This window comes from Homo sapiens, chromosome 11 (assembly GCF_000001405.40).
Source record: "Homo sapiens chromosome 11, GRCh38.p14 Primary Assembly".
Lineage (NCBI taxonomy): Eukaryota > Metazoa > Chordata > Mammalia > Primates > Hominidae > Homo > Homo sapiens.
This window is the reverse complement of record NC_000011.10, coordinates 41,374,122-41,397,656: the sequence shown is the minus strand read 5'-3', so window position 1 is coordinate 41,397,656 and position 23,535 is coordinate 41,374,122. Positions and strand designations below refer to the sequence as shown.

The following is a 23,535-nucleotide window of genomic DNA, read 5'->3' as shown; positions in this document are numbered from 1 at the left end:
TTGACCCTTGAACAACCTGGGGGTAAAGGACACTGACCCCTGTACAGTTGAAAATCCACATATAACTTTTGACTCCCCCAAAATGTAACTACTAATTGCCTAGTGCTGACCAGAAACCTTATCAATAACACCCAACAGTTGATTAACACATATTTTGCATGTTATATGTATTATATACTATATCTTTATAATAAAGTAAGCTGGAAAAATACTATTTAGAAAATTATAAGGAAGATAAAATATATTTACTGTTTATTAAATGGAAGTGGATCATCATAAAGGTGTTCATCCTTATTGTCTTTTCATTGAGCAGGCTGAGGAGGAGGAGAAAGAGAAGAGGTTGGCCTTGATGTTTCAGTGGTGGCAAGGGCAAAAGAGGTGTAGGAGGTGGAAGAGGAGGCAGGAGGGGTAGGCATATCAGTGTAGCATTTACTGAAAAACTTTGTGTATAAGTGGACCTGCACAGTTCAAACTGTGTTGTTAGAGGGTCAACTGCTTTATGGTTCAAAATAGCTTAGCATGATGGTTGATTCTGGATTCTGGAATGAGACAGCGTGGGTTTGCATCTGACCTCACTATTTGTCTCTATGATCCCAATAACTTATTTACTCTCCCTGTGTCTTTGTTCTTTAAAAAATCGTATTTACATCTTCATAGCGTTGATGGGAGAATGGAATGCACTAATGCATGTGAAATACTTAAAACTATCCACATTCATAGTTTGCAAAAATTTTCTCTCACTTTGTAGGCTGTCTCTTTACTCTGTTGATAGTTTCTTTTGCTGTGCAGAAGCTCTAAAGTTTAATTAGGTTCCATTTGTCAGTTTTTTATTTTGCTGCAATTGCTTTTGGTGTCTTCATCATGAAATCTTTGCCCGTGCCTGTTTCTTGAATGATATTGCTTAGGCTGTCTTCCAGGGTGTTTGTCATTTTAGGAACTAGTCTTAATACTTGGGTGACAAAATAATCTGCACAACAAACTTCCATGACACAGGTTTACCTGTATAACAAACCTGCACATTTACCCCTGAATTTAAAATAAAAGTTAAAAAACTACCCATATCATAAAGTTGAGCATTCACTACATGTTTCTCATTGTTATTAGTGATTATTTTAAGTGAAGCAAATTAAGAGAATTTGAGGAACACCTGTCTGATTATATTGCAGAGATCAGAAAGTGAAGACAATAACTATAAAAGAAAAAAAAGAATACATGAAATATAGGCCAAGGACTCAGAAATCATCTAATCTCAAAATTACAATCTAAACTCTGCACTTTAATTTAGCATTGAAAATTAGTCAGACTGCAATACCTATCTTAATTTTTTTGCTACATTTAACACAGAACCTGAGCAATGCCTATTTTTGAAAGTGGCACCACAACTTCTTGTTTTTAGACCCTTACTCCTCATTTTCTCTTTACTACTTTTTCGATTTGCTTGTTAACTTATTCTGTTCTTCAATATCTCTCTTTGATTGTACTCTAATTATAAACTAATATCTGCAACGGGGGGTCCAATCTTTTGGCTTCCCTGGGCCACATTGGAAGAAGAATTTGTCTTGGGCCACTCTTAAAATACACTAACAATAGCCGTTGAGCCGAAAAAAATAGCAAAAAGTCTCAGAATGTTTTAAAGAATGTTTATGACCTTGTGTTGGGCCGCATTCAAAGCCGTCCTGGGCCACATGTGGCCCATGGGTGGCAGATTGGACAAGTTTGATCTTCACTATTTCCAAAAGGAAAGAAACAAATAAAAATAAACTACTTTTAGTTCCCTGAGATTCACAAAAAGTGCAGTACTTTTTGGTTAGAAGATTGGTATTTAATGAGTCTTTGTGTTGGAGGGTAAGAGGAGTGAAAGAAGAGATGGACTCTTTTGGGAGGGACAAATTGGAATAGGATGAAAACATTTTGATTTGTTGGATCAAGAGACCAATTATGTAGTCAGAGGAGTTTCATTTTATTCTTGTTTCAACTTTGTACATGAAATTGGGAAATTACTTGCAATTCCTTGATCTTGATATTTTACTCTTTGTAAAATGGGTGTTAATAATAACCATATTTTTAAGGCCTATATTTGGAAGAAAGTGAACTGGTATTGGTATGACTGTAATTTAAGACACTAATGATTTCTTTTGTATTATTATTTGATTATTCAATTATGGTGCACAAAATGAGACTAAATTATAGTGATGGTCCAATCATAATCTATGTTGCCACAGCTGCTATTTAATAGCTGGCTGGCATGTTAATTCTTATATAACCCACACGTCTCCAGACCTCATTATTTGCTGGGTATAAATGAGGTTATACAGCATTTCTACCTACATTTTAAGAGCTTATTGCTCAAATTTGCTAGGACACAACTCTTTCTGACAAAGCAGTTGCTTCAATCTAAGAAGCTTTTATTGGTGTACACAAGAGGTGTTCACATGTGCTCAAGAATAGGCGCTCATTTTTTCTCTGCTCTTTCCTGCTGATCCGAAGACATTCCGTTAACTGTTTTAACTCTGAGACTCTGCCAGTGTCTGTACCCTGCTTCATCAGAAAAATGCTATTTAAACCAGGATTGTGTCTCCTGGTTAATGGGACATGTGAACGTTTAGTAGAGCCAAACAGTACTCCCTTGCCTTCAGACATTATTGAAGCCTAGCTGCCCCCTGTTCTCAGCAGAAATGAAAGGATTCTCTCTGAAGAGGTCAGTTAGAGTATAAAAGGCTTTGCTGACTGGGTGCCATATACCACGATAGCATTTTTATTTTTCTATCTTTCCCTTTTCTCTATTAAGTGACTAAATATAAACTTACCATTTGAATGTTTCCTTCCTCTTGTGCAAAACATTTATGTGAATGAGAAGTCACAGTTCTCTTTGACTGGTGCCAATCAAAGAGTAAAAAGAACAAAACAACTTCAGTGGCAGCAGCAATGTCAATGGTAGTAATATAATAAGAAAGAAAATCACCATAATAATAGCCAGTAGTCAATGGCTGACCATGGACCCAGCACTCTTGTTAAGTACTTTGCATTTATTATCTGCAGTCTTCACAACCTATCTTTCAAGTTGGTGTTTTTTACCACAAGGATCAAATCATCCTTCTTTGTAACCACATTATTTCTGATGAGCTGATTGGAGAACATAGTTTCACTCAGTAGCCAGGCTGGCTTTTCTGGAAATCCATATGAAGTAGAAAGAAAGGTATGTCACCCACTGCTTGGCATAACTACATAACCAGAGCCCTCTCTGCAGGGAGGCGCATCTGAAAAAGGAGAGACGCATACTCTATTCCTTTCAAATTTGCAAATTAGATTAAGTCCCCCTCCTTTCTAATAGTGCAGTGAAGGAAGGTATAGAGAGAAGCTGGAAGAGTCCATTTTGTAGATTTCCCTCCTAGAAATGGACTGCAAATTTCTTTTCCGTTGTGGAAACACAAGTCAAGTGAAATCAGTGCCTCTTCACTCTAATCCACAATAGCCACTATTATGAACTCCATTTTACAGATAAGGAAGCAAGGACTTTGACATCAAACCTCCACAGTCAGATGCATAAAAAGTGAAGGATAGAGACTTTGAATGTAGGTCATACTGACTCCAGAGTCTATGCTTTTAAGGCTCCCTAGAGTGCCTCTTTGCATATTTGATAAAAGGTGCAGGTGAATGAGGGATTTTGGCTGACATCTAGACTTACAAGAACTACTTAAAAAAAATTATCACTGGGCTAAAGGTAGCCTAATTAATACACATATAGACTAGTTGGTGAGGAGTAAACATATGCAAGGAAATGGATGTTATGGAATTCACTTGCATATGCTAGCAGCACTAATACTATTGAAAGCATGCCCTGTTGCTGTTACAAATATGTGATCCAGTATTTCCTGAATACAAAATGTGATAGGATACTGTAGCATAAAGTATAAATGTGACAGACTCATTTGCACAGATTTTGGCAAGTCCTCAATATTTCCCTTCAAGTTTCATTGCCTCTAACTACAAAGTATAACAACCCATAAGGTATACAGAAACTGTAATGAAACTCTTCTTGAGTGCTTTTATGCTTTTAAATGTAGCATTTTTGCAGGTTACAAAATTATGTTCACCCTGGAACCAGTGGCGATCTGTTTCTGGAAAGAAACATGATCTGAAAGAGTGATTGCTGCTCTCTCCTCCTCCCCCCTGCCCCTACCCCTCTCACTTACTTCTTTCTTCACTGAGACATTGCACATGGATCAGTTTTCAAAGTCAGCCACCTTTGAGAACCTTCCCTAAGATACTTTCACAAAGCTCATTCATAGCAATGTTCAGAGCACACTTTTATTCCTAATCTCAAAGGAAAAAGGCCTTTTTGGTGTCACAGATCCATTGAGCAACCCCAGCATCTATGGAGATGTAGTTTGCCAACAGTTTTTGCCTCTTCTCCCAGATGGTTCCCGTAAACAATATGAGCGACATTAATTTTGATGTATAAGAAATTTGGCTAATAGAAAATTATATCTGAAAAACATTTGGAGGTTTCTACAGTTCCTCTTTATAAATGTCTAAATGTCAAAGTTAGTTTGCTTATGTCCTAGCAAACTAACTTAAGTGACTTTACAATCATTATATCTCCCCTATTTAAAATCATACCAGAAGAACTGCTGTGGGAGCAATTAGGAAAGCATAACAATAAAACAGGTATATTGTCATAATGCTTTATGCCAGAGGATTTTCCTGATAAAATCCTATCTCCTAGGACTGCCCTAAATTTATTCTCCTACAGTTTGGGTACATAGAAGTCTTAAACTGGCAGGTTCTTGCTTTTGCTCTCTCAGAAGACTCCAGGGAAGAATCCTTCCTGCTTCCTCTGGGCCACTAGCAGTTCCCAGAAATTCTTGGGATTCCTTGGCTTACAGCTACATCACTCCAATTTCTGCACTCATTATCACATGTCTTTCTTCCCTGTGTGTGTCTTTAAATGACCTTTTCATAAGGATATCAGTCATTTAATTTCTGGCTCACCTTAATTTAGTATGACTTCATCTTAACTATTTACATCTACAAAGATATTATTCCCAAATAAACCCACATTCTTAAGTTCTAGGTAACGATGTTTTTTTTTTTGTTTGTTTGTTTGGGGGAGGTGGTGGGTATGGGGGTGGTAACACTATTCAACCCAGTACAAATCCTAAATTCGGTAAGTACCAAAGAAGGCTTATTACACGTAACTGTTTGGCTTCTCTCCCAGTGGTTGTCCTCTACAGAGGAAAGCTGCTAATATATTGAAATATACAGAGCCCAGTGGAAGATCAGCTCTGTTAAATGGTTGTGAGAATAAGTCCAGGTTAAACACTTGTACAAAAACAGTTAATCTACAGTGGCATTCAAGATGCAAAAAGAGGAACACATCTTGACAAGAAAATTCACCACGTGGCTTACATCATACGTGGGAAAGAGACTTCAGTAGCTAAAGTCTCACTGCAAGTCATTCTACTAAGAAATATCAATCGGGTCATAGATGAAAGTGCCTTATCATGAATTCCACAGCAAACATGTTATAGTGCCTACATATGCCTTTGTATTTTCCCCTCGTAAACGGTTTTCTCCTACTTCTGTTTTTTATAGTTCCAGTGAGTACTTAATTCTGACTACCTAATTTGAAGCTATTTTTATACATATAGTTTTCTCTTTTATTCTACCTGCTAACCAGGTGACTTTGAGCAAATTGCTTTTAAATAGCAGTGATGCCTGCTTCTCCTATGATAATAAAATAAAATAATCAAGTAAAACACTTATTACAATGCTTAAAAATTTATAAGCACTAAAATAATATTCTATTAATTTTTTGAGACCTATTCATAGACACATTTGAGATAATGTAAAAATATTTATCAATACTGAGGGTTTGGCAGATAGCCAATAAGTATCTAAATATGTGTTTACTTTTTATTTCCTGAGGTATTATAGGAACTTGAGGGAAAGGAAATGTCTGTCAGTTGTAAGACTGATCTTGCACCTTGGGTTTTAGGGGGTCATCAATAAATACTTATCAAATGTGGAAATAAGTGAGAATTATAGCATTGGAAATGATGTAGAAAATAATCAAGTCATCATTTATTGCAGTGGCTTTCAAACGTGGGCATCATTCATGCCTTCATTACCTCATGCCCTGCCTGGCACATGAATGCTCAATACATATTTGTAGAATTACTCATTTCATTTTTTTTCCTGTATTCCCAAATACAATTTTATTAACTTTTGTCCTCATGTTATATGTTAGATTTCTAAATGTGCTTATCTGACATAACTGTTATTTTGCATCTTTGATCTACATATCCCCAGTTCTTCTCCCCCCTGCTCCACTTGTGGTAACCCCTGATTCATTTTCTATTTGTATATTTTAGCTCTATTTTTTTCTTCTTGAGTTGTGTATTTAGTGTAGATTTCCATTCACTTTGGACTTACTGAGTATAGAACACTGAAGAAGAAGGCAGGGCAGAGAGAAATGTTACCTTAAACCAAATTTATAATATAACCTATACTCACAAACCCCAGAGTTTAAGAGTCACTGATTTAACAACTTTTCCAAGTCCCTTGAACACCTTGAACAAGTTTATAGAACAAATGATTTTTTTTTTACCTTTACCCTTTCACAAAATGCTTACTTATATGGCCCAAGGCAGGACACTTTTTTTTTTTTTTTAATTAAAGCAAACCTCAACCCTGTATACTGCTTTTAGTTAAAGAAAGCTATATTTATTCATTCAATCATTCCATTGATAATTATTTCTTGAGTAGCTACTATATGCCAGGTACTTTGCCAGGAACACAGTGGGTGATGAAGACAAACTTAGTCCTTGCCCACATGAAGCTATGGTGTAGTGGAGAGGGCAAGCACATACATCAAAGAAAGATTTTCTCATAGTATTATATATTTTGATGGTAGAAAGTGCTATGAAGTGCAAGCATGCAAACACTGGATTGCAGACAGGCGACTTACCCTAATTCAAAGTGGAGATGATCAGATGAAGTTCATTCAAGGACATGATGATGAATTTGACACCTAAGGAATGAGTAAAAGTTTGCTACAGGAAGAAAGGGAAAAATGTATTCTAGGTAAAGGATTAGCAAACTGAAAGGTCATAGAACACAAAGGGTTTAGGAATGCTGAAGAAACTTAAGAAAGCCATGTGGCTGGGGCAAAGTGATCCAGAAAATCATCCTAAGGGCAGGGTAGTGACAGGCAGGTGGGTACTAGATTATGCAAGATTCTGTAGTCGCCGGTTACAAAGGATTTAAGACAGTGCCTCTCTTCTCACATTGGCACACTGGCACAATGGAAACGTCACCAAAACCCTGAGCCAGCCATTCAAAAGCTGAAGACTGATTGTTTCTCCTAAATGATTTATCCCTCTTAGTGCCCTGTGTTGTTTTTTATTTGTTCTATTTTGTTTTGTTTTAAAGAGACCACTCACTTTGCATATGTAGGAGATAAGAGCAGATCAGGTTATCTCAACCCACCAGAACATTTATTCTATATCCCTCAAATCCTCGGCAAACAAAATAATTAACTTCAACAATGTTTTATGCAGTTTTATTCATATATTAATATTTTAAAATGCAAGTTCTGGATAGACATACTCAGAACAGGATAAAAACAGAAGAGAAAATTTCCTCATTATCTTGGTAAATAGTATGTCCTGTGTAACCATAGCACCATTTCTTCCTTGGACATGTTTCTCTCATTAACATAATACAGCATATTATAGTTTCTTAAGTATGTTAATTTTGGGGTATGGTCCAAATGAATAAAATATTCATGTCCAGGATTAGCACAATTCAGATGTTCACAGCATCGTTCAATGGTAATTGTAGAAGTGTGGGGAATCAGACTTTTAATTAGCGGAGCCTTGGTTATGTGTTTGCCCAGGCACATGCCCGATCACTGGCCAGCAGTCTGGTCCAGATATTACTTCAGTGTAAGCAATTATATGCAAGTAGAAGCACCTCTTTTCAAGAATTTTCTTTTGTGATTTTTTTTTTTTTTGCTGCTCACTGTTATCCTAGATTAGGCTTGGTTGATTACAGCTGAACTTGAGAAATAAGGAAAGTATATCTTTGGTGCAATTTCTTCCTTTTGTTAGAGACTGTTCTTTAACCCTTGCTTTCCCCTCAAGCACCCAGTGACCTCATGATATCTCTTGCCTACCCTTTCCAACCACAGTATTGCTATGTCCTATATTTAATTGAAACTTAGTCGCTGTGTGTTTTATTTGTTCCAGATTCTTCCACTTCTTTTTAATGACACAACCATGATATAAATTATGCAGTCTCAGAATCAGAATCAGGGACTCTGGGTGCATATCTACATACTAGCCTTTAACTCTTGGAACCTTGGTTTTCTTATTTGTCAATTAGGGTCATAAGGGTACTTACACCACAGCATTTTGTGGGACCTACATGTATATGGATGTATTTTGTAAGCTGCAAGGTCCTGTGTAGATATTTTATCTTTTTGCTAAATGAGAGTATGTGGGTGTAGAGTAAGCCAGTCTGCTTACAAATTAAAGAGAATTCAATTATCTCATCTCAGCTAATGGTAGTGTATCTTTTAGATAACTTTATTTTTTTCTTTTTAAAATACCATGCCATCGTATCCCTTCCTAGCCAGACTGTAGATTGGCTATGTAGACATCATTAGAGTCCAAATTACCTGTGAAAAGAGAAGCAAAACCTTATATTTAGATCTAAACTTTCCAAACCTGTCTAAACATCAAAATTTCTTGTTAAATTAATCCTTACATATTACAACTGTGGATGCAAAGACAGGTTGAGGAACTATGATATACCTATTGGTATTTAAGGAACTACTAAGGGCCACTTTCATCAAGGCACTAACTGGTAAGAACCCTCTTCCTGTCTTTTGGTATAGTTTAGAATCTTTGTATAATGGGTTAATGTTCTTTCTATAATTGGCTTCACTTTGTTTCTTAATGCTGTCTCTCATCACTGATCAGCTGAAATGATTTGTAATTCCTTGATGTTTTCCCTAGTTTACCAAATGCCTTCCTAGCCATTCAGCTAATTCAACTGATTCTTCAAGGCACAGTTCAAACATAGCAAACTCATAAATCTTCCTTAGCAAAATGGGTCTATCAATTCCTTCTGTTTTCGTGGAGTATTCTTTGCCATACTTTTAGCACAGTGTTTGTCATAGTATACCATGATTATTTGCACATCTGTCTCCCCCAGTACCATGTGGGTCATTTGAAGTCAGGTCTTTTAAATGGGAACACACTATTATGTATGTATTTACATATAGATCCAAATTATACAGCTCTAGTGGATATATTGCCCTATGTGTAAGGCTAGTACTTCAAAAACGCATCTTTACTGAAACCCATTATCTTTACCCTAGCACTACCACAATCTCCACCAAAAACAGTCAAAACTCTTTATCTACTTTCTATTTCTCTGTATATTATTCATGTCTATTCTCCCAGTGCCTGGCTTAACAAATATTTGCTGAATGGATGTGTAAGCCTATCTTTTTTTCAAATACCAGGCATAAATCTTAAAGCAGTGTATAATGTATGTGTTATACAATTTTGTAAAAAATAATATATTTCAATTCACTCTCTACTTCCTTAACCTGATATCTTTTGATGCCTTTCAGAGAAAATTTAATGTATTTCTCTGTTGGGTTATGGAACAAGAAGCTTTTTAAAAAGATATCAAGGAAAAAGAGATTGTGAGAATGAACTAAATGTGTCAAATCTTGCACTGTGATTAGAAAAGTGATCTACTGAGGTGACCCTGGAAAGTGACATCCCAGGAGAATGGTTGGTAACTTCACTGAAATATGCTTATCTTGGCCAACACAGAGGTTTCAGATATTTAGCCATTGCAGCTAACATATATAACTATGGGTGTCGGGTGGTGTCTAGGAAACTGTCTAGCAAATTGTAGAGGGTTTTAAACCAGGGTCACCCATAACATTTTGTTTACAGTTATTAGGGTGATATATAACAACAGTCAACCATTTATTGGACTTTTCCATTCTGATTTTTGACAAGCACCTATATTCCATAAGAACAAAGCAGAGAATAATTACCATCTCTCCTCAAAAAATACTCTGTATTTTTTTCCATATCTTTGATATAAATAACCATCTCATTTCCCACAAATGAAATCTCATCCTTCTTATTTTCTTCTTGGACTTCTCCATCACTGCTCCACACCCTTTTAAGCCAACACCAAATCTGTTGACTGTGATTTAGAAAACTCTTTGTTTCAACTGTTTCTCTCTGATAGCACTGACACTGATTCAGTCAGGTGTTCCTCACTTCTTATCACCTGTCTGTCTCCAAACTGAATCCTCTACATCTAATCTTTCTCCATTCTAGCCTTTCCTGCCTCCATTTGTCCTCAGAGGACTAAAATAATATGAGGATTATATTATCCACTTCCCTTTAAAAAAAAGTTATCATCTCCTCATTGCCTAAAAAGTAATGTCTAGTTATCTACAGGAGAAAAAAAGCTTTTATCAGTTAATAAAGACATTTGACCCCAGGAGCCTGCTTTGCATATAGTCATAACATCTTTTATACACTTGAAGCAAAACAATACGATCAGGCTAATGTCATTGTAAAGTACATGGTGGACACATGTAGCAACTGGGAATTTACAGGAAATGAAGCAATTCTCTAAAAAATTGAATGCTATAATATTTGATTGCTAATTTTAAAGCAAATATTAGCTCCTGAGCTCTTATTGTTCTGATCATTTCCTGTTACACAAAGGAATAAAGACAAAAGAATAAAGAACCACACTTTTACATACTTGGGTGATTTCTACTGCTTCCATACAAACTTTGTCAGCACCATGAAAAATCCATTCTGTATTCTATACAGTAAGTATTTGCACCCTGATCAAAGACATGAAGACATTATTCAGTCTGTTGGGAACAGCATGCTCTAGATGAAAAAGGAAGCATATGATAAATAAAAATAATGATAAGCTACAGAAATGTAGAAGATTAAGACTAGCACATGGTAGGCACAATGAATGTACACTTGATTGAAGGAATACAATTGATGATCAAATTACAAAGGTACATCTGTGAACAGTTTTACCAATTTTATTTTTAAATCATAAAAGTCATGTACAGGAAAAGGACACCAGTGGAAATCTGAACAAAGCCTGCAGTTAAGATACTAGATTTGTACCATTGTTAGTTTCTTAGTTGTAATAGTGCTACCATGGTTACGGTTCTTGACATTAGAGGAAGCTGTGTGAAGGGCATATGGGAACTCTCTATACTATTTTTGAAACTCCTCCATAAGTCAAAAATTATTTCAAAATAAAATGGTGAAAAGTAAGTAAGTCTTGAAAAAGCACTCATAATCTCAACTTTTCTTTTTCTAATTTCTGAGTACAACATTGAGAATGCTGGTGTGTTTTGGCCTTTACTGCCATCCATTATTGCTCCATCCTCTTCCTGTGTTTTTCTCCCAAAGCATTTAACTAGTTGCTGGTAAGTATCAAATGGAATAAACAGTATTAAATATATATACATACATTATATACATACATAAATACACACACGCAAATAAAGTCTAAGCAAAGATGTTACAACATTAGTTACTTGGAAATTAAATATTATAAATATCTATTTTCTTATAAAAATTGCATAGCTTTGAACATAAGAGAGAACACAAGATGTTCAAACACACAGTTTTCAATTAGGTAAGCTGGATTTCATAAATAAAAATATATCTTACTACTGTAACTTAAAAGGATTGAAACTCATGAAAAATCATCTATTCTAGTTTCTAAAGTTTGATCTAAAACTAGTTCTGGTGTCTAAGATTTGTTGTCCTGCAGGGTAACTATCTTCCCTATTGGACGTTTCTTTTGAATTTGATTAGTTTCTTTTCCTTTCACTATTCCTCTTTTAACTTTCTTTTATATTATTTTGTTCACTTCATAACCTCCTAATTTTTAGATTTTTAGTGTTTTTAAAATTTTCTGCTCATGCATGCAAGACAATAAATGTTCCCTCCAAGTAGCATTTAGCTGTATCTCACAAGCATGAATAGATATATTTTAGTAATCATTAAGTCTTAAATAATCAAATTACTATTGTTTGTATTTCTTCCTTGACCAATAACTTATTTATGCATGTGTTTTTTATATCAAAAATTTTTCTAATTAGTTTTTTTTTACTATTAACATAATTGTATAGTAGATAGCAATCTTTATACTCTGTATCACACCAAGCATTTGAAATTTGTTCAGATTTGTTGCGATTTGTTGTTTTGTGGCCCAGTAGGTTGGCAAGTACAATAAATGCACACATCTGATTGAAAGAAATACAAGAGTATATTCTGCAGTATTTGGGTAGAACATTTTATATTAATTCATTAAAGCAAGTTTATCATATTCTTTAAATTGGCCACATGATTTTTATTTTTATTTGCTTGATCTATCAGTTACTGACAGAGGGTCGAGAGAATCTCCCAATTGACACTAATTTAACTATTTCTCTTTGTAGTTCTCTGACATTATGGATTATAGTATAATCTCTCTATATTATATCTATATAATTAGATTCATGTAAGTTTAAAATTATCATAATTTCCTGGACAATTGTATACTGACTATATTTAGCTCTACTAATGCTTTTTTACCTTGAGATATGTTTTTCTTTATTATACTACAACTATACAAACTGATATAGTATACTAAATCATTTGTAAATGGTATAGTATACTAAATCATTTTAAAAGCTCCCCAAAAAGTTTGTATAGTTCAGTATACTATACAAACTGACACAGTATACTAAATCATTTGTATAGTATACTGAACTATACAAACTTTTTGGGGAGTTTTAAAATTCATATGCAACAGTTTAATAACAATGCCAATGGATAAATAACAACATTCCAAATAAAAGGCTAGGGGCTTTTGAATCAACCGACAGTGAAGTTACTCAACAAACATTACATAATACATGAGCACTTAGTAGGTCTTCAGAGTACACATATTTTATCTGGTCTTCAGAAACTACTCTTTAAACATTACCATTGAATTTAGATGCCAGTTATATTTAACACCCAGGAGATTTTCTTCTACCATATGTAATGCCTTGAGAAATGACAAACTTGTTGGCATGTTTTTAACTGTAACAGTTTTGACAAGATAAGATTGCTATTTCTTTCCCTAAAATCAACTTGTCAACTTCCCCAGGTTTCTATTGTTTATGGCTTTATATTCTACTGTTGTATGAAGTATTGAGTCTGATGAAAAGTGTTATAATACCTATTATTTACTGTACTACTCAAATGAATAAAACAGGTAAGATAAAAATACAACTAAATAAAAGAGACTAGCATAGTTTTTATTGTGCTTGAGTGTGCATTATTTATTCTGAAAAACATATTTACTACCTCCTAATGAAGTACTACAGAAAAGTTGAATATATGTTAGCAGGTTCTTAAATGGTTCAAAGCATTTATCACTGTTACCTTCAAGAATCTATTGCAAAATAGGTTACGGTTCTCTGGTGTCCATATTACAGCTTTACATTTTAAAATAAACTTTCGAAGATCTTTCATTACCAAAATTGTATGTAAATAACACCAACAAAAACAACTAAAGGCTATAATGGGTAGACAAAGCTTAAATTTTAGTGCAGAATTAGGGTCAAAGGGCACAAAACCCTGACCTACTTCTATTTTCATCGAAACATTTCACAAGCTTTGTTTTGGTTAATATTTTCCTGGTGTTTCTTTTATCATCTTTTTACTTGTTACATGTCTATTTTCTTATGTCTTAAATCTCTTATAAACAACAAAGAGTTGGAATTTTTTTTTTCTAGTCTGCCTGTCTTTTATCTGGGTCACTGAGTTAATTTACATTTGTTGGCATTTCTTAAATGTTTGTATTTATTTCTATCATGAAATGCTCTGCCCTGTTTGTCTTGTTTCATGCATGTTTATGTATGTTTTTCTTTTTCTTCTTTTTCTGTTGTTTCTTTCAAATATATTTTCTTTTTGATTAATATTCAATGATCATTCCATGCTTTTATATCTGTTAATACAAGTGTTGATTTTATGTACTCTGTTTTTCAATGATGACCCTAGAAATTTCCAATTGTACACATATCAAATATGAAGAAAGTCATATTCTTATACATCTAAATAATAAAAGACTCTACATACAATATTTTAATTCTGACCACCTACATTATGGCACAAAATTGTGGCCAAGTTTTTTAGTTTGTGATATGAGAGGCCAAAATAGTACCGCTTCCACAACTAAGATTGACCTTAAGATTAAAGAAACAAAAAGTTGTCTATAGGTCCAGGGTTCCAGGCCCAGCTGTCATGGCAAATTCCTAAATTCATACAAGAAAAACTACACTTTCACTAACAATAGGAGCTATCAGGCAAATTATCCTAACTCTGATTCACAACCCAGAAAACAACAACTCTGATTGGACAGATGACTGGCCTTGCCAACATTCTTTTCTGATAAGCAATTGCAGACCTTAAGCCAGTTTCGGCCAGCTTATAGAGGCTGTGCACAAGCTGTCTTGGTGTCCTGTAGTTCGCCTTTTGATATAGAGTCACATTCCACCTCATTTTAATGCTAAAACCCTGCCCTAAGGTGAACCTAAGATGTATGTTGCATTGTATGCTTACCCATTGCATGTGCACTCTGCTTTCCTCATAAGTATGTTTAGCTTTTTCACCAAATCTGCTGAATATGTATGACTCTATTGTGTAATGCAGATCTGTGAGGCATAAAACCCAACTTGTCCTTCCCTGTTTTGAAGAGAGTACCTTCAGCCCACACCAGAGACGTCCTCTATCCAGCTTGCAAACCTATGTTGCCCAAAGCTCTCCTTTCTACTAGTTAGCCATCCTGGTGGTCTTTTGTACTACAAGTTCTTTTATTATTTTTATGAGTCCATAACACTAACATTTTAGTTTTATATAGTCAGGATTTGTTAGTTTTATTTACATGTCTTCAAGTTTATTTGGTCTTTATTTTCTCACTGAAATTTCAGACCTTCCATGTAAAATCATTTTCTTTCCACCTGAATTTTCTTATTACTTAGTGAATTAATTCATTAAAAATATTTATTGAAAACCTATTATTTTCCAAGCAATATTTTAGCTTATATAATTGTAGCAGTGAACATAGACAAAAATCCCTGTCCTTCATTTAGAATTTCTTTCAGTGATAATCTGTTTATATTAAAGCAGGTATTATTTGTCTGAAAATGATTTATTTTTCTCACTCTTATTTTCAAATGCTACTTTTGCTGGGTTTACAATCCTAGCATCACTTTGATTTCCTTTCAGCATATTTAAGGTATGATATTATTTTTCTTAAGTTTTGATTGTTTTAGAAATGCCGACTATCAGTGTAATTATCTTTAAGGTAATAAATCTTTAATCTCTGAAAGCTTTTAAGATCTTCTGATTGTTATTGGTAATCTTTAGTTTCACTACAAAGTATTTATATATAGATTACCTTATTAGGCATTCCTGGGTTGTCATTTTTCATTAGTTATGAAAAATTGTGAGTCATTGCCTATTCAAATATTCTCCCTCATATTCTGTCTTTCATATCTAACAGCTTTCCTATTCTGGACTTTCATTTTACTATTTCTCTTGTTTTTGCTGTCAAATAAGCAGATATAAATATGAATATATGCATATATATAGATTATATATATGCATATATATATACAAACACATATATCTGCTGAATTGGCAGAACAAATGAGATAAATATTATATATAGATAGAGCCAGAGATAGAGAGAGCCAAAGAGAGATAAAGGTTTTATTTATAAAGCTCTACTTGATGCCTTTTCAAATATATATATTCATTTCATATATATGTGTATATAAATTGGATATTTTAAATTTTCAGTTTTTCTTATTTCCAAAAATTCTACTTGAAACTTTAAAAAATATATGCTTACTCATTTTAGAATTGCTTATTATCTTTTTTCCATCTTTCTTTTTTCTTTTTTTTTTTTTGAAGCAGAGTCTTGCTCTGTTGCCCAGGCTGGAGTACAGTGGCGCAATCTTGGCTCACTGCAACCTCTGCCTTCTCAGTTCAAATGATTCTCCTGCCTCTGCCTTCCAAACAGCTGAGATTACAGGTGTGTGCTACCATGCCCAGCTTATTTTTTGTATTTTTAGTACAGACAGGGTTTCACCCTATTGGCCAGGCTGGTCTTGAACTCCTGACCTCGTGATCTGCCCGCCTCGGCCTCCCAAAGTACTGGGATTACAGACCTGAGCCACAGCACCAGGCCTATTGTTCTTTAACTATATTGAACCTACTTAATATTTGGTTCCTGATCATTACAATGTCTGAAGTGTTCAAATGCATAATTTTCCTATTATTTTTATGACAGTTTTTATTTACAATGTTCCCCCCACTTTGGTGTTTTTTAAGTTTAACAGTGAGGTGTTATTTCTTGAACTTTATTTGTCAGACTTTTTCAAGGTCTAGGTTAGAAGTGTGTTTCTCCAAACAAAAATCCTATGTGCTCGCTTCTCTATATGCCCAGGGATGTTTTTGCCTGGAACCACTTTACAAGTGTGGCTTCAGATTTTCAGACCGTGCAGATAGCGTGGTTTTACATTGAAGTTATGTCCAAATATTGGCTTATAATATGGATTCATAGGAAAGACATTTTTCTTCTTCACTTCTAACCACTATTAATAGTGATAAGTTTTCTTGGAGTCTTCAGAGAAAAGAGTAGGTTTGTGTCTAACCTATCCTGACATTGCAGATGTAGTCCTTTTGCAGAGAGAAAGAGAGAGAGACAGACAGACAGACAGACTACTATTGGACTTCTCACAAAGGTAGACCCAAGATTCTGCCAGGTCACGTACTCCCTTTGAAGTTGTGAATCTGAGGCTCAAGTTAAATGGATTTGGCAAATTCCTTCCAAATAAAATCCGACTTCAGTGTTTCATTTTTTCTTTATGGGTTCCCATTTTTACTTATCCTGTTTACCTTTCTACCAGCTTATCCATACATTTTAATAGGTGTTTCTTATAAACTGCCCAGTTGTAATTAATGCTAATTTTCTTTTATATTTTTAAGATTCATATTCAAGTATTTTTTTCTACAAACTTCCCCAGTTTATTTGTGAATTTCAGTGTTGCTTACTTTCTCAATCCTTTGAGTCTATTTTATGTGTGTTCATAGCTGCACATGAAAAAAAGTTTCTATCTACATTTCAAGTTTCCTGTGTACACAAGAATACAAAATGAGACAGGAAAGAGGGAGAAATTTTCCATGTAATTAATCAATAAACAAACATTAAAAATGTGCACTCTGGCAAAAGTGATTCTTGATACAATTCTTCCCTCTCTCTTAATTTCTAGATGTAATATGTTACTGTCAACTACAGTGCAAAACATAGAATCTGTTATATTAAAGGCAACACAATTGAAAATACCTTCCCTGTTCACGGGGCTCAAATTTTAAATAAAACTCTATTTTTAAATTAGCTACTCTAAAGCTGTGCTTTCTCAATCTTGAACTAATTCTTGCTAACCTTACCCTTCAGTTTACCTCCTTAAAATTTCCCATTGCACAGTGGACTTATCTTATCTTCTGAGGTGGGTATCTTACCACTGAGGACAATAGTGTGTGTGTGTTTGTGTGCATGCATGTGTGTGTGTATCTAAATGATGAAGTAGGGAGCACTGTAGGGTGACTGGTTCTACCTTTCACTTCTCTGTTGGAAGTAAGGAAACCCAGCTGGTTTTAGACAGAAAGACTAAGGAGAGAACTAAATTTCATACTGAGAATAATTACGAAGACATAGATCTTGTTTAATTATTTCAATGCAGTATTCATTCTCTTACACAGCATCTATTCTGCCCTTTTTTTACCCCTAACATCACCAGTGTTAAGTACTGAGGCACACTGAGGCAGGAACATCAAGAAACAAATCCAAAAGAAAATGGCCATGAATCCTATCAAGTTTAGAAATAGAAAGAAAGCTGTGAATAAAGGCCCTGGGTAGGCTCAAGGCTAGGGAAGGACTTTTGACCACTCTCTAAGGATGGGGCTATTTTATGATACTTAACTTTATTCTATATTATTTATATAAAATACTTATCTTGTGCCCAAAGTTAAAACTTTCCTAAAGAAAGTAAAGGCAATCAGTCAACTTCACTGCTAACTTCCTGCTAGTTACCAGTACTGCCAAACATCCTCCTGTTGGCTTGTGAAATTATATCTTTAAATTTTTTTCTACCACTCACTCTGTGATTGTACTAACAGTAAATGTGAATAGAGAACTCTACAGGAAGAATCAGTAACCATGGTGATGGGAGGGTGCTTTCTGCAATAACTCTACTGTACAACATAATTTATGCATGAATGTAAAATCACAGATGTTTTGAACCATATGCAGGCTATATTTAACCACAGTGCAAGTGACAAGTTACTTGGGAGTTACTAATCCAAAAGAGGTGAGCTCCACTTAGATTATAATTCTTTTTTCTCTTCTGGTAGAAACCACTTAGATACAGGGCCCTACCCCTTTGGGAGTAAAGTGTGGGTATAAGTATGTGTGAGTTTATATGTCTGTGTGTCCAAAAGGGTGGGGTATACAGAAAAAAACAAGCATGAAAATGAATATACTGAAAAGATAATGAAGAAAGAGAAATCAAGACAATATGAAAAAAGAATAAAAAACAGACAAAAAAAAAAAACTCTTCCCGCTGACTTATATTGTTTTTGTTCCTAAGTCTTGATTAGAGATATTGAGTTTGAGTCATACCACTGATATTTCAACTTGCATTAAAAATGAAGATCTTTATTTTAATTTTTAAGCTAGAAATCAGTGCCTTGGGTTATAGGGAATTGCTCTTAGACTAGTTATGTTTACAACAAAATGAAATCATACATCTTCATAGGAATCATTTAAAAGGTTAGACTACATTTAGTATAACCTGTTTAGAGATTCAAGGAAAGTCTAATAAGTGATTAAAATCTTTGTTTCCAAAATTTCTATTCTTTTGGGCCTGAATTCCCAAAGGATAAATCCTTAGTTACCCCAAATCTTGAGCATACCGCATGGATATTTCCCAGAACTGTTTCCACTAGTTGCATTGTCTTAAGAGATGAATTACTGTAAAGTCTGCTCTCCGCTGTAAAAATAAAGCTGCTTTTAGAACAGGTTTTCTAAAGGAGAAACCCTTAAGAAATCACAAAATTAATGCAATACCTTGTGGAACAGGGCTATTTTCAGTGTCATTGGCATTTTAGTCTTCAGAGACAAAAGAAAAAAATGTGAAATGGAAATAAAATAATTTACATTGTAAAACTTTTCATTTCTCCTGGCACTTTGTGCCTATTTTTGCCTTTTCTTCATTCCCATGTTCTTTATCTCTTAGTAGAATGCTGCATCTGTTTCTCTTTGATTAAAGTCCTACTGGCCTTTTGCCCCTTGCCCTACCTCTTTGCTTACTGCTTTTTTTTTATTGCTTCCCCACTCTTATTTTAATATAAATTGCCTCAGTGGTAATTAAGTACATTTCTGCAGATCCAAGAAAGTCGCAAGTCAAACAATTGTTTTTCTCTCTTTTGTGCTACCCCCACTGCCCGCCTTTCTGAAGCACTAACATGGAGTTAAACATTAACAAAGGAGCCTCAATATTAACCCGGATTAAATATAAGGGAAAGTGATTACTACACAGTTCAAGAGGGCGATTGCCTCCTGGCGCATCCAGCTTTGCCTTTTCTATTGGTACGGTGCTCTCCAATGAGAAAAAGCTGGAAAGCTGCTGGAAAGTCACTGTTACAGTAAAGGGACTGAGTGGCATCAGATTATTGTCCTTGACTGTAATAGTTGTTTGGTCCCCAGTAGGCCACACCAAGGCAAAAATACCCATAACGAGTAAAACATTTCAGTGCTTTTCAGGTGGCTCTGAAAACTGCCAGTTTCAATATTGTGTATTTGAAGGATCATCTATGTTTTCTAAGTGGAGAAATTCTGCATAATAACACTTTTCCCTGAGATTCAGTTCTGTCTTGTGAAATGATTCTGTACCATGCCATGGGAAAAAAAATGTGATTGAAAACATTTAGCAACACGCTTATCTACCTCAAATATCTATCGGTTATCGTTGTTTTTTTCCTGATCCCCTTGAAAAAATAACTGGTACTGGTGGAACTGTCCATGCTACTGCTAATCTAAGCAAAGAAGTATTGTGTCTTCTCTCTAGCCCAGGCTGCTTATTAGATCATTGAAATACATTTTGTACTGGTCTTGGGAAAGACAACCTCATGTTAGCGGTTGAGAAGCCTGAATTTTTCTTTGTATGGGGAGAGGAACTTTGTATATCTCGTTATCAATTTAACTATGGGTCTTAGCCTAGTGCCTGACACACAAAAGTGTTAATAAATGTATTTTTCAAGAATGAAAGGAAGAAAAAAGGATAATTTAAAGGGAGGACAATTGAAGATAAAAATAATTTCACATGTACTTTTACTGACACAGTCATAGCACATAATTCAATGAACTCTGCACAAACTTGATTCCCTGGATAACTGCATATATCATATGAGCATTTCTTGGACATATGGCTCCAAAAATAAATATTTAGTTCAGACTTCAGAAAATTGGAATGTTAGATTTAACCCATTTTATTAGTTGAAGCCCTTTTCTCTTTCATAACATTTTTCCATTGAAAGTTAATTGCTTTAGGTCTTCCCCTTGTCTCTATTAATCCTCTAGCAATTGTTTGTCTATCATCTATCTATCTATGATCTACGTATGTGTGTATCTATCTATTTTCTTTCTATTATAAGAATATAAATTTTTAAAATCACCTGTAACTCTATTACTCAAATATTTTTATCAATGTGTTTATAATATATGTATATTTTCATGTGTGTGTCAGTATATTGTGTATATTATACATACACAAATACACACATAAATATTTCTAAGTTCAGTATCTACATCTTAAACATTTTTACATCGCTAACAATACTTCCCAAACATGCAATAAACTATGAGTAATATCTCTTTAGAGAGTTATAGTAATTTATTTTACTATTGTTTTATTTTTGGTCATTTTATGTATTTCTAATGTTTAACCATTAACCAAATTTTACAATCATTATTTCTGTTGGAGATAGGATAATCACTGCCTGGGGCCAGGTGTTGCTAGTCTGGCCATTAGTTGGAGATGATCTACTTTTGTAGAGCTGAGATTTGTGTCATCTAATTCAATTCTACTTTCAGCCTTATTTGTAGACATTTGGGCAATAGGTAAAGCTACAAGGCATCTCAGACTTGCTAGTTATTTTTTCTACCGGCAAGTTCCAATTTGTGCAGAGAAGCAAGGCTGGCAAAGTGGCATATTCTTATTCAGCACACTCCCTTGTGGCCAGGCAAAGAGAAAGAAATGAAACAAGAGTGCAATGGGTGTTTATATTGTAATTCTCCTGGGAACTCAGTTCATTTTTAGAGTTTATTTTTTTTTTCTTTCTCTACAGAGTAAATTGTTTCTGGAGGAGAAAATTTTATACAAATACAATTAATGCTAGTCTTCTCATTTTTAGATTTCCATGACGTTTAAGATCATTTTGAATATTATATTAATATAAAATATCAATTTATATGTGAATTCTCCAATCTTTCATACCAAGTCTTCACAGTTTAATCTGAACTTCCCTATCCATCATCATCTCTTGCAAGTTAGTGTGAACGCCATACTAAATTTCCTAATATTCCTAAAATTTATGAATATTAATATAAATTTAGGAATCTCTAGGTACTTTCTATATTATTCTCTGCCTAGGATGTGTTCCTTCTTTCTCAACTGATAAACTCAAACTCATTCTTCAAGATACTATAGACAAGCAGGCAAAATGAGTTTCTATTTCTTCTCTGCCATGATAGCTATTAATTCATAGTTTGACTATAATAGTTCTATAGTATTGTGATATCCCAGTTTGGCTCTCTACCATCCTGATGTGATCCAGGCAGTAACTGTGCCCTATTAATATTTATATTATGATAGATGTATGTAAAGTGTTACACCTAATGTTTGTTGAATGAATAAATAATGACTGAAACTCACACTGAACATTGGCCAGAATGAGCTGTCATAGCAAATGATTCTCCTGATGCTGTGTATGTCTTAGCCTTATACCTTACCCTTAAAAACAACTTGTCTATATTTCTAAGTATCCTATTTCATACCTACTAACAGCGGTTCAGTCTAGAGGTGATGCTTCTATCAAATGTACATCTCCTCCACTCTCTGCCTTAAGCATCAACGGAAATTGTACTTACGTATGTCACACTTTCTGATTTCCTGTTAGCACCTGGCATTAAACTTTCCATTGTTTTCTTCTATTTGATTATAAAAATGTTTAAATATATATAATAATAATAATGTTTAACCCTGTCACACAGATTTAACAGTTTTTGATCTTTCACCATATTTGCTTCACTAATTATTTTTCTGTAATAGTCTATTTATTTATTTTGAGACAGGGTCTCACTCCCATCACCCAGGCTGGAGTGCAGTGGTACCATCACAGCTCATTGCAGCCTTGACTTTCTGGGCTCAGGTGATTCTCCCTCCTCAGCCTCTCAAGTAGCTGGGACCATAGATGCATGCCATCACGCCCGGCTAATTTTTTGTATTTTTAGTAGAGACGGGATTTTGCCATGTTGTCCAGGCTGGTCTCAAACTCCTGGGCTCAAGCAATCTGCCCACCTTGACTTTCCCAAGTACTGGTGTGAGGCACCATGCCCAGCCATTTTCCTATAATATTTTAAGGTTACATATATACATTTTTACCGCAAATATTTCTACATACAACCCTCAAGAAAAAATGTTATTTTCCTACATAATTTTAATAATATTTTTACACCTAACAAAATTAATAATTTCTCAGTGTAACCTAATACCCTGTCTATATGTAAATCCTGCTCATTATCTCCTTAAGGTATTTTACTATTGTCCTGTTTAAATTGAGATTCAGTAAATGTCTACATACTGCTGTTAGTTATGTCCTGATTTTATTAATCTAAAATAGTCCGTCTTTTTTGTTTTATTAATAACACTGGCATTTTAGAAATCACTTTTGTTGTGTTTCATCTTCTACATTTATTTGACTATTTTTTCTTGGTATTATTTAACTTGTTACTCTGTCCTCTGTATATCCTATAAGTTGGAGGTTAGATTCATTGTCTGAGTAAATTCAATTTAAACACTTGGAACAAAAGTTTTTTTTTAATTTTTCTCTTCTAAATAATATGCATAAAATCAATGTATCCTCACATCTGTTCTAAAATTGTATGCACAGACTCATAATATCATATAGTGTGATAATTTCAGTGTACTTGGTGATACTGAGTATTTCTCAGGTAAAGGATAAGATAGTAGAAAATAACATAAGAATGAAAATACCAATTCAAACCTTAGTGCTGGCTCCAAGGAATTCAATTAAAGAAGGAAGTTCAGACAGATGGTTCAAGGCAGTTTGT

At 34.4% G+C, this 23,535-nt stretch overlaps 1 protein-coding gene across 17 annotated transcripts in view, besides 1 other annotated feature; it reads left to right on the top strand.

Annotated features, from left to right (window-relative positions):
- LRRC4C (leucine rich repeat containing 4C) overlaps nucleotides 1–23,535 on the top strand; it is a 1,345,454-nt gene that overhangs the window by 61,996 nt on the left and 1,259,923 nt on the right. The window lies entirely within an intron of this gene.
- Nucleotides 4,597–5,098: an enhancer, noted in NCBI's record as "NANOG hESC enhancer chr11:41414109-41414610 (GRCh37/hg19 assembly coordinates)". NCBI's record gives its function as "activates a minimal SCP1, AML or CMV promoter by ChIP-STARR-seq in primed H9 embryonic stem cells {active_cell/tissue: H9 hESC(primed)}" and the evidence as "EXISTENCE:reporter gene assay evidence [ECO:0000049][PMID:30033119]".